Source organism: Homo sapiens, chromosome 5, assembly GCF_000001405.40.
Source record: "Homo sapiens chromosome 5, GRCh38.p14 Primary Assembly".
Classification (NCBI taxonomy): domain Eukaryota; kingdom Metazoa; phylum Chordata; class Mammalia; order Primates; family Hominidae; genus Homo; species Homo sapiens.
In genome coordinates, this window is record NC_000005.10 from 72,914,885 (window position 1) to 72,928,136 (window position 13,252).

The window sequence follows — 13,252 nt, forward strand, 5'->3', positions numbered from 1 at the left end:
ATATAGTTGCATGTTACTAATTAAATGTATTAACACATTTCAGGGAGTATGTGTGCATAACTGTCATGGTTTTTTTTGTTTTTTGTCTTGTTTTTGAGATGGAGTCTTGCTCTGTTGCCCAGGCTGGAGTGCAGTGGCACAGTCTTGTCTCACTGCAACCTCTGCCTCCCGGGTTCAAACGACTCTCCTGCCTCAGCTTCCCAAGTAGTTGGGATTAAGGCATGTGCCGTCACACCCGGCTAACTTTTATATTTTCAGTAAAGATGGGGGTTCACCATGTTGGCCAGGCTAGTCTCGAACTCCTGGCCTCAGGTGATCCACCTGTCTCGGCCTCTCAAAGTGTTGGGATTACAGCTGTGAGCCACCATGCCTGGCCTTGTCATACAGCCTTTTGAGATTTAGAACAGGAAAGAGCCTAAAATTAAATCAGTACAATTCCAAAACTTTTAAGAGAGGTGAGGCTTGGGTTTCTTTTTCTTTGTTACCTGGCCAAGAAAATATTTGAGAAGAGAGAGTTCTCTTGTGTTAACAAGAAAATAAAATTGAAACTTGGACATCATGTTCTAAAACACAGCCTCAAGAGTTTAATATTCCAGAATTTTAGGACTTAGGTTGTGGGGAAAAGATAATTAAAGTCATCCTAATTCTTGTTCAAGATTAGGAACCAAAAGTCTTTTCTAAGTCGTCAATATTTTAGTGATACTAAAGCCCTATCCATTTTATGCAAATGATCTTTTTCTTCTCAGTTCAGGTGATGAAACCATCGTAATGATAAATGAGTAAGGCTGGCTTAACAATTCTTGGACTGGCGGGCATTCTTGTAATGAGTTCATAATCAGTATGACTCCACAATTTCACGTGATTCTTTAAGAATGATTGGAAAAGTGGCAGCAGGAACTACAGAGCTAACTTGAATTTCCTTTGTGTTCTATACAGTTGAATATGGAATTACCAAAGCTCTGTCATTTTAAAAATTCTTTATTTCTGAGTTGTTAATTTGATGTAAAAGTGTAAGAACCCCCGAAACATCTCCATTATTCAGATAGACACAAATAATGTACACATCACAATTAGTATATATTTTTTTTAATTGAGAGGACTCTGGCTCTGTCTCCCAGTCTTCAGTGGCACGATATCTGCTCCCTGCAACTTCCGCCTCCTAGGTTCAAGCAATTCTCCCATCTCAGCCTCCCAAGTAGCTGGGATTACAGGCGCACGCCACCAGGCCTGGCTAATTTTTTTTTTTTTTTTTTTTTTTTTTTTTTTTTAGGAGAGAGTTTGGCCGTGTTGGCCAGGCTGGTCTCGAACTCCTGACCTCGAGTGAACACCTCGAGTGGTACGCCCACCTTTGCCTCCCAAATTGCTGGGATTACAGTTGTGAGCCACCGCCCCTGGCGACAATTTGTAAATTTAACGCAATTTCTAAACCATTGGCAAGAACAATACAGAGAAGAGTTGTTATACTGAGACCCTTTAGGTTTTTGTACCAGTCAATTCTTACATGCATGTTATGGCAGTCTCACTCTGATGATTTAAATCTTAAGTATTCTTTTCAAGCTTTGTGTTACTTCTTGAAGAACTTGAAACAATTTTAAGAAAGACAAGTGAACAGTTAAATGAATTGTAATACAACTACCTAGTGATAACTGCTGTTAATATCCTGTGCACATATATAAATATATGGTGAATTTGTGTTTTTAGTTATATCCAGAATTGTTTGTTAATATACATGGACATACCTACATATTATTCTATAAGCAATTTATGCAACTGTCTTACTGTTGTTGGACATTCAGAAGTTTTTTCTAATTTTTCACTCTTAGAAATAAAGTTTTAGTGAGAGTCGCAATGCTTAAATGTTTGCAAACATCTGTAGCGATTTCTTAGTGAAACTAGCAGGTCAAAGGTAGTTGGTCTAGTCAGATTACCTTTCAGTTAAATTGTACTCATTTTCATATCCAGCACCAACTCCAGTGGATTCTGTCATGTGTGCTGTAAGTTGTGATTTAATAGCATGATTTTCTAACTTTAGGAAATTTTATATACAAAATCTAGGTTTTTATATTACATATTTAACAGTTATTTGAGTCTTATATTGCAGGCAGTGTTCCGTGATCTCATGGAGCTTAACATTCTCTTTTAGGAAGACAGTAGTGTGTTAATGGTGGCAAGTGCCCATAAGGAAAGAAGGAGATGGAAGGTGATGATAGAGTGGGGGAGGTTGCTTTTTCAAATGGAGTAAGCAGGTAGGTCTGAGAGGGTGTTGTCATATGAGCAAAAAGCTGAAGAAATGATGGATGTCTGAGGAAGAATACTTCAGGTAAAGGGAACAATAAGGACAGATGTCCCAAGAACCATAATGCGTTTGTGTAAAACAAATGAGAGGGTTCTAATTTGAGCACCCAGAGTAAGGGAGAAGAGTAGATTAGATCTAAGAGATAACTGGAAGGCCAGATGGTATAGTTGTTATATCTGAATGAAGTAAAGGGTCATTGTAGGGTTTTGGGTTAGAAAAGTGATGTAATTGAGAATAGACTATAGCACAAGAGTCGAAGCAAGTAGACCCTTTTGGGGATGCTACTATGAACAGGGAAGAGTTATCAGTGGCTTGAATCAGGGTGGTAGTGGGGAAGGTGAAAAGTGGCTGGATATCTGGATATGTTTTAAGGAGGAATCAACATTTGTCAACATACTGAATTTGGGTTGTGGAGAGAAGAATCACAGATGGCTCTTAAGACTTTTGGTCTGACTTGAGCAGCTGGAAGGGTGCAGTTTACCTTAACCAGAGTAGGGAAGATCTGGCATTTGGTTGGAGACATCCATGAGAAGTAGAGTAGGCAGTTGGAGTTCAGGGAGATAACCTGGCTGAAGATGGAAAGCTGGAAGTTGGTGTATAAATACTGTTTCAAATCATTGGACAAGAACATCATCTGAGGACTGGAACAATTAAAGATGGTAGGGACTAACCCTGTAGCACTCAACATTAAAGTCTGAGAGCTGACTAAAAATCAAAGGAGCGTAGTATTGTGATGTATATTGTCTGCAGTGAGAATTACATTTATAGCATGAAGGTCATTATTTTGGCAGATTTCTGTATGGCTATGGGAGACGTAGAATGAGGGCCATCTCCTTCCTCTCTTCTAGGGTTCTACAAAGCTTGGGCTTCTGTTTTCCTCAAGGCCAAGTTCAGTGGCTTTGTTTCTTTAAAACTGAGTTGTTCAAAAAATTTGGAAGCTTATGAAGAGTGAATAAACAGGCCAAAGTGGCCAGATTACAACCCTGAATATTACCAGCTTGTAGTGTCTACATTCAAAATAAAACACCATCCCCAAAAAAAGATGAGCAACAAGTTTTTGTAATTAGATGAGATTATTTTAGAGTTCATATGAAAAAGTAAGATAAGGCAGAAAAATTGTTAAAACAATAATTAGTGTGGGACAATGCCAGTTTGACATTCTTTTAAATTGTGGCTTCAGGAATTAAAACTGATGCATGAATAGGCAGCTTAGAAGAACTAAGTTTAGATCTAAACATCTAAATACACTAGTATATTTGGAAACTATTTTATGGCACTTCAAAGTATAATTTTTAAAAGGCCAGGTGTGGTGGCTCATGCCTATAATCTCAGCACCTTGGGAGGCCAAGGCAGGTGGATCTTGAGCTCAGGAGTTCGAGACTAGCCTGAGCAACATGGTGAAACCCAATCTCTACAAAAAGTACAAAAATTACCTGGGCGTTGTGGCACTTTGGTTGGACAAGTTGGGAGGACTGCTTAAGCCCAGGAGTTCAAGACCAGCCTGGGCAACTTAGGGAGATGCCCATCTCTACAAAAAATAAAATTAGCCGAGCATAGTATCGCACACTTGGGGTCCTAGCTACTTTTGGGAGGCTGGTTCGCGAGGATCACTTGAGCCTAGGAGTTGAAGATTGCACTGAGCTATGATCATGCCACTGCACTCCAGACTGGGCAGCAGAATGATACCCTGTCTCAAAAACAACAGCAACAAAAGTCTGCATGACAGTAAAGCTTGGGAAAAACTTGACAGACTCCTTTCACAGAAAATGGTAATGTTCTAATCTATAAAGCACTACAAGTCAGGATGGCCCAATAGAAAAGTAGGCAATGGGTATGTATAGTTCATTAGTTTGAATTTAAGATTTAAAGATAGTCACTCCAATCAACTGAAATTTAAAAGGTCACACACACATTAAAGGTGAAAGAGGTTTGAGGACATACTCTTATCTAGGGAATACAAAAACAGACATTCACACATCGCTAGTGGGAGTAAATTAGTACAACATGAAGGGAACTTACAAATTACTAATATATTTAAAATACATTTATGTGTGTGTGTGTGTGTGTATAGTTTGACCTATAAATCATCCCCTAAGTAACCTGCATGATAGCCCATAAACAAATGGAAAGGTGCTAAATATCTTCACATTCACTGAATTGGCAAAAATTGAAAACTCAGTCTCTATCAATTGTTAGGATGAATGATGGAGGAATAGGAATTTACAGTGATGATTTAGTCCAACTACTTTGGAAACCAATTTGCCATTACCCAGTAAAGTTGAACACTTGCGTAGGCTAAAACCTATGCCTACCCCTAGACCTATGTTCTACCCCCAAGGTGTATGTACAGTGTATATATGCCTTAGAATAACTTGACATATGTGCCAGGAAACAATGTATATCAGCATTGTAATAGCAAAAAAAAAGGAATAACCCAAATGCCCGAAAGAATGGGCAAATTTTTAAAATAGAGCTTGGCCAAAAAAGCCAGTCTCAATTCTGTAACTAAAGAGAAGCCATTTATATCGAAGTTTAAAAACAAAAAATACATAGTGATGCATGTATACATGTATAATACAAAATTAAGATGGTTACATCTTTGAAGCAGAGCTGAGAATACAATCATGAACATCTGTGTACCTGGGTGGTGGGCACATGGATATTCTTTAAATGGTACATACTCATTTCACACATAACTTCGTTGCACCAGAGAAGACCTATTTGCTTACTATGCAATGGCAGCATATCTTTATTTTTATTTTATTTTATTTTTTTTTAGCAAGTTTGCCTTTTACAATAGAACTAGGACTGGGAAAAAAGGCAGTTTTTTGTTTTTTGTGTGTGTTTTTGTTTTTTGAGATGGAGTTTTGCTCTTGTCGCCCAGGCTGGAGTGCAGTGGCACAATCTTGGCTCACTGCAACCTCCGCCTCCTCGGTTCAAGCGATTCTCCTGCCTCAGCCTCCTGAGTAGCTGGAATTACAGGTGCCCGCCACCATGCCCAGCTAATTTTTTTTTTTTAATAGTAGAGACAGTGTTTCACCACGTTGGCCAGGCTAGTCTCGAACTCCTGACCTCAGGTGATTGACCCGCCTCGGTCTCCCAAAGTGCTGGGATTACAGGCATGAGCCACCATGCCCATCCTAAAAAGGCAAATTTATAACAACACTTATTATATGATGTGTTAACTCAAGATCATTTCTAATCCAGTATTCTTGGGAACTAAAGAGTATAAGAGCTTTTGTTGTTAAACTCAAGTATTCAATATTTTCTACAAGGACAGATAATACATTAGATTGATGCAAAAGTAATTGACGTTCTTACCATTGAAATTTTGTCATCTTTACTGACAAAATTCCTTAAGTACTTTCACTTTTTCACTTTGAAGGCACATATTCCCAACTAGGAAAGTATATCTGAGATGCTCTCTTCTTAACACTTCCTTACAGTTTAAAAGTTAGCACTTGTTGGAAGGCCCACTCTTTATATGTGAAAAGAAAGGAATTGAAGGTTACTAAATCTTTCCCATGTATGCTAGGATTTTACAAGCATTTCTGTTTTTGTTAAACCTCATCGTTTATTTGTCCTTTGTAGGCATGCACATTTTCCTTAAGATTCTTAGAATGAGTTTTATTTTTCTTGAGATTCTCTTAGGACTCTAAGCTGAAGCTATACCCAGTGATGTATAAATCAAAATATTTCCATTAGAGGGAGCCGTTTACCTAGATTAACCCTGGAATGTTAGTATCAGAACAGTATTTTGTAGGAATGTAAGGCATATACATATAATAAGCATATTTCCACCCCTTAAGGTCACTTACTTCAACATGCATTTTTACATGAAAATAATCTTGAAAACATTTTTTAGAGCAGTTTTAAAATTTCAATGCCATTCTCACCTTGGAATGCAGGAAACCTTCAAGATATTTCCTTAAGTCCAAGTACAGTGTTTATGATATAGACAGGACATTTCAAACGTTAATGTACATGTGTGTCTCCTGAGAATCTTGTTAAAATGCATCTCTTGATTCATTAAGTCTGGATTGGTCCTGAGATTGTGCGTTTCTCACAGGCTCCCAGGTGATGCCTCATTGTTTGTTTATGGACCTCACTCACTTTGAGTTAGCAAGGACCCAGAGAGTTCTTGGGAAATTGAAGTTCCCTTTTAACAACAATAACAAAATAGCATGTACACTTCACAAGATGTCAGAGGCTTTGTGTATTTTGTTTGCTTAAGTATCTCCAGTGCCCTGAACAATTCCTGAAACAGAGTAAATGCTCAGTAAATATTTGTTGAATGAATGAGGACATGTCTAATTGTTTTATGTATATTAACTCATTTAATCTTGACAGCCTCTGAGGTAAGTTCTATTATTCCTGGCTCACAGAGAAGCAAATAAGTCATATGTAGTGAAACCAGGATTTGAACCCAAATAATTGATCAGTGTGACTCAAGAGCCCATGCTTTAACAAAAATACTCTACTGTCACTGCCACCCGTTTTTAGGTAAGTTGTTACCAACACAGAGCTCAAGTATCAGACTGATACAGGTCATTATTGTCCAAAGGCCTGATATATCTGTTTATGGTTGCTTGTTTCTGTCTGATTGTGAGGTTTGCTATGCCACAACATAGAGTCCTGATGATGGTAGTCAAGACTGCACACTGTTGGTGTGCGGAGCATTTCCCCACTCTGATTGGGCTCACACATCGGGAGTGGGAAAGAAACAAGAGAGACATTCAGTCACTCAGGGTTAATGAAGGAACAAGGGGCCCACTAGTCCTTAACCCATTATCTAATGTGGTTAAGTCTTATAGTTTCATCAGCCAAAGGAATGAATTGTCATAATCCCAAATTAAAGATGATTAATAAAGACAGGAGCTCCTCAAGTGTTTGTTGGCAACCAGCCAAATGGAGTTATTTAATATCTATTTTTCAGGGTTTCTGCTGCACCAGAGATCAGTACTAAGCTATCTTCTGTGACTTTCTGATAGGAATTGCCATTCCAGTTAATCTTCATATTATCAGAAGAAAGTTTTATTTGGCGTTGTTACTTTTTCTAATCTTCCAAAGCCACCAATTTAATCTTACTTGCAAATCTGGCCAAAAAAAAATAGACGACTATTTCAAATTTTTCTATCTACCAGAAGTTTGCACATAAATGGTGGGATGTGTGGTATTAATAAATACATTTACTGTTCAATTAATCCGTTTTCTGTCCACAGCAAATTTGTTTTGCGGCTGAAAGTTAAATTCCTGTAGTTTTGTATTTAATATTGAATAATAATGTCCCAATTAAAAAAAATTTTTTTGTTGATTTTGCAATTTGGAAGGAGAAGTGCCAAGCAAAAGGGGGAAAAGAACCTTATAAAACCATCAGATCTCATGACAACTATCACAAGAACAGCATAAGAATAACCACCCCCATGATTAAATTACCTCACACTGGGTCCCTCCCACGACACATGAGGATTATGGAAACTACAGTTCAAGATGAGATTTCAGTGGGGACACAGCCTAATCATATTACCATTTGTAGTAAATTCTATTTTTGCTTGCCTAATTTTTTTTTTAATTCTGCTTTCTTTCTTGAAAGATCTTTTCACTGGGCAGATAATTCTAGGTTGATATTTTTTTTCTTTTAGCACATTGAAGATATCATTCCACTGTCTTGAGCCTTAAATTGTTGTTGTTGACAAGTAAGTCCTCAGTCTAATTACCTTATTTTATTTTATTTTATTTTATTTTATTTTATTTTATTTTATTTTTGAGACTGAGTTTCACTCTTGTTGCCCAGGCTAGAGTGCAATGGCACGATCTTGGCTTACCGCAACCTCCGCCTCCCGGGTTCAAGCGATTCTCTTGCCTCAGCCTCCTGAGTAGCTGGGATTACAGGCATGTGCCACCACGCCCGGCTAAGTTTTTTGTATTTTTAGTAGAGACGGGATTTCTCCATGTTGGTCAGGCTGGTCTCGAACTCCTGACCTCAGGTGATCTGCCTGCCTCGGCCTCCCAAAGTGCTGGGATTATAGGTGTGAGCCACCATGCCCAGAGAATTACCATTTTTTTTTTCATTTTTTTGATAGGTCATCTGCTTTTCTCTTTGTTTCTAAGATCTTAAAATAGTGTGGAAATCCTTCTAATTTATCCTGTTTGTGGAAATATTTCTAATTTATCCTGCTTGGGAGACATTGGTCTTGCTAGGTATGCAGATTAATACCTATTAATAACTTTTACCAGTTCACTTCTAAAACATTGAATATTTTCTTGTCTACTTGTGGAATATCATAAAATGTTTGTTAGACCTCACTCTGTTGTCTTTTAATAACTTTTAGATACATAGATAGATAGATAGATAGATAGATAGATAGATAGATAGATAGATAGATAGAGTCTTGCTCTGTCACCCAGGCTGGAGTGCAGTGGTGCGATCTTGGCTCAGTGCAACCTTCACCTCCTGGGTTCAAGCGATTCTCCTGTCTCAGCCTCCCGAGTGGCTGGGATTACAGGCGCCTACCACCACACCCTGCTAATTTTTTTGTATTTTTAGTAGAGATAGGGTTTCGCCACGTTGGCCAGGCTAGTCTTGAACTCCTGACCTCCAGTGATCCACCCACCTCGGCCTCCCAAAGTGCTGGGATTAGAGGCATGAGCCACCGGGCCTGGCCACTTTTTAATATTTTTATCTCTTTCTCACTGTCTTCAGATATCTAATCTTCCAGTTCACTAATTCTGTCTTCGGTTCTATTTAATCCTCCACTTAATTTTTCCATTGAATTTTTAATTTTATTTATTGTATTGAACTAAAAGTTCTAGTTAATGCTTTTTCAAATCTGGTTACTTTATATAGTCTCTTATTTTCTTGCTTATTATTTTCAATGTCTTTTTTGTGTGTAAACATATTAAACATAATTTTTTTTTCTTTTTAGAGACAGGGTCTCACCCTGTTGCCTGAGCTGGAGTGTGGTGGTATGATTATAGCTCACTGCAGCCTCAAACTCCTGGGCTCAAGAGAGCCTCCTGAGTAGCTAGGACTGCAGGCACATGCCATCATGCCTGGGTAAGTTTTTTATTTTAGTTTGAGACAGGATCGCACCATGTTGCCCAAGCTGGTCTTGAACTCCTGGCCTCAAGTGATCCTCCCACCTTGGCCTCCCAAAGTGCTGGGATTACAGGCATGAGCCACTGCCCCCAGCCAACATAGTTGTTTATACTCTGTGTCTGATAATTTCAATATCTGAATTCTTTGTATGTGTGATTCTCTCTTATTTATGGCACCTGATTTCCTTGTGTTTTGTGATTTTTAAATTTGCTTATTTCATGTTTCTTAGAACTTTATTTGTGGAAGTTCTTGAGGCATGAGTTGAAATTATTGTTGTCCAGAGAAAATTTATGTTTGCCTCTGCTACTTACTTGGCATACAAGTAATGCAGGGCCACTCTGAAATACATTTTCTGCTTGAGAGTTGGTTGATTTTTTTTAAGTACCATGAACTCAGGCTACACATTCATGTAAGTCCTGCTTTGTGGTTATGATTTTTTAGCAGAGATTATCTCCATCTAGTGTGAAGGTCAAATTAGCAAATTTCCTTTCTATCCCCTTCTGTGTGTAGGTTTATTTTGTGCTCAACTTTACCTTGATAATATTGCCTTTAGGGGCCCAATTTATGATAAAGGTGATATTTTAAATCAATAGCAAAATGATGAAAAATTTAATTAACTGTTGTGTTATAACTAGAAACAAAGTTAGATTCCTATGTTATGACTCCATCTAAACTATATTCTAAATAGGTTAAAGATTTAAAGGTAAGCTGGGTGCAGTGGCTCACACCTGTAATCCCAGCACTTTGGGAGGCTGAGGTGGGCGGATCACTTGAGGTTAGGAGTTCGAGACCAGCCTGGCAAACATGGTGAAATCCCATCTCTACTAAAATACAAAAAAAAATTAGCCAGGTGTGGTGGCGCATGCTTGTAAATTCCAGCTACTTGGGAGGCTGATACAGGAGAATCGCTTGAATCCAAGGTGGAGGTTGCAGTGAGCCAAGATTGTGCCACTGCACTCCAGCCTGGGCAACAGAGTGAGACTTCATCTCAAAAAAAAAAAAAAAAAGATTTAAAAATAAATGAAATAAAGGAAGATTGTGAGAGGTGACAACGTGCTAGCAGCCCTCCCTCACTCTCGGCGCCTCCTCGGCCTCTGCCTCCACTCTGGCCGTGCTTGAGGAGCCCTTCAGCCCGCCACTGCACTGTGGGAGCCCCTCTCTGGGCTGCCTGAGGCCGGAGCCGGCTCCCTCTGCTTGTGGGGAGGTGTGGAGGGAGAGGCATGGGCGGGAACTAGGGCTGTGTGTGGCACTCGCGGGCCAGTGCGAGTTCTGGGTGGGCACAGGGTCCACGGGCCTCACACTCAGAGTGGCCAGCCAGCACTGCTGGCCCTGGGCAGTGAGGGGCTTAGTACCCGGGCCAGCAGATGTGGAGGGTGCGCTGGGTCCCCCAGCACTGCTGGCCGGCCTGCGCTGTGCTCGAATTCTCACCGGGCCTCAGCCACCTCCCCGTGGGGCAGGGCTCAGGACCTGCAGCCCACCATGCCGGAGCCTCCCCACCCCCAGTGGGCTCCCACGTGGCCTGAGCCTCCTCGACGGGTGCCGCCCCCTGCTCCGCGGCGCCCAGTCCCATTGACTGCCCAAGGGCTGAGTGTGGGTGCGCCGTGTGGGATTGATGGGCAGCTCTGCCCACGGCCCCGGCGTGGGATCCACTAGGCCAAGCCAGCTGGGCTCCTGAGTCCTGTGGGGACTTGGAGAACTTTTATGTCTAACTGGAGGATTGTATACGCACCCATCAGTACTCTGTGTGTAGCTCAGGGTTTGTGGATGCACCAATCAGCACTCTGTATCTAGCTAATCTGGTGGGGACTTGGTGAACTTTTATGTCTAGCTAGAGGATTGTAAATGCATCAATCAGCACTCTGTGTCTAGCTCAGGGATTGTATATGCACCAATCAGCACTCTGTCAAAATGGAGCAATCAGCTCTCTGTAAAACGGACCAATCAGCTCTCTCTGTAAAATGGACCAATCAGCAGGATGTGGGTGGGGCCAGATAAAGGAATAAAAGCAGACTGCCCAAGCCAGCAGTGGCAACCTGCTCAGGTCCCCTTCCACGCTGTGGAAACTTTGTTCTTTCGCTCTTCGCAATAAATCTTGCTGCTGCTCATTCTTTGAGTCCGCACTGCCTTTAAGGGCTGTAACACCGTGAGGGTCTGCAGCTTCACTCCTGAAGGCAGCAAGACCATGAACCCACCAGAAGGAACGAACAACTCCAGATGCACTGTCTTTAAGAGCTGTAACACTCACCGCAAAGGTCTGCAGCTTCACTCCTGAATCAGCGAGACCACGAACCCACCAGAAGGAAGAAACTCTGGACACATCTGAACATCTGAAGGAACAAACTCCGGACACACCATCTTTAAGAACTATAACACTCACCACAAGCGTCTGCAGCTTCATTCTTGAAGTCAGCGAGACCAATTTCAGACACATTTTGGTGACCCAGATGGGACTATCACCTATCGCCAAGTGGTGAGACTATTGCCTATCGCTGAGCAGTGAGACTGTTGCCTATTGCCAAGCAGTGAGACTATTGCCTATCACCAAGCAGTGAGAACCATTGGACCCCTTTTGCTTGCTATTCTGTCCTATTTTTCCTTAGAATTCGGGGGCTAAATACTGGGCACCTGTCGGCCAGTTAAAAGTGACTAGTGCGGCCGCCAGACTAAAGACACAGGTGTCAGGCTTTCTGGGAGAGGGCTAACAACCCCCAACTCTTCAGAGTTGGGAGCATTGGTTTGCCTGGAACCAGCTTCTCCTTTTCCTGTACTTCTGGGCTGAGCCAAGGGTTGACAGAGAGGAAAGCCATTCAGCTCCAGGGTCCCGAAAACAAGTTGATTGACCCTGCAGCCATGAGCAGAACTCTCAAAGTCATGTCGCCCAAGCGAGACTCGCCCATCTATTCTATCTACCCTGACCCTTGCCCCCTGGGTCCTAATGCCTGCCAAACAAACCTCCTCTCGCCTCTCTTCTCCGAGGCTAGTCCCACTTCTAAACATCACTCCCTGTCTCTGGTGCTTTTCTAGTTTCTCCTATAAGAATGACTGCTAGTATAAACTCTAGGACTCTGTTCCCTTCTTTAGGCACCTAGGCTCACCAATCAGAAAGACATAATTTTTGCCCAAAGCCCCATCATAGTGGGGACTACCTGGAATTGTAGGATCCCTCCTCAGACTAGCAGGCCTAACAAAAGCTATTCCTGAAGCTAGGATATGGGGAGCCTCAGAAATTGTGTCCTTTCTATTCATATAAGTGAGGACAAAAGGTGTCACTCTTCCAACCCTGGAGAATCTCTTCCCTCCCTCAGGGTATGGCCCTCCATTTCATTTTTGGGGCATAACATCTTTATAGGACATGGGTAAGGTCCCAATACTAATAGGAGAATGCTTAGGACTCTAACAGGTTTTTGAGAATGTGTCGGTAAGGGGCCACTAAATCCGATTTTTCTGGGTCCTCCTTGTGGACTAGGAGGACAGGCAAGGGTGCAGGTTTTCGAGAATGCATCAATAAGGGCCACTAAATCCGACCTTCCTCAGTCCTCCTTGTGGCCTGGGAGGAAAACTAGCATTTCTGCTGCTACATTGGTGAGTGCAACTATTCCGATCAGCAGAGTCCAGGGACTTTTGCGGGTTCTTGGGCAGGGGTTGTTTCTGCTGCTGCGTTGGTGAGTGCAACTGTTCTGATCAGCAGGGTCCAGGGACTGTTGTGGGTTCTTGGGCAGGGGGAGAAACAAAACAAACCAAAACCGTGGGTGGTTTTGTCTTTCAGATAGGAAACAGGCATCAACAGGCTCACCCTTGAAATGCATCCTAAGCCATTGGGACCAATTTGACCCACAAACCCTGAAAAAGAGGTGGCT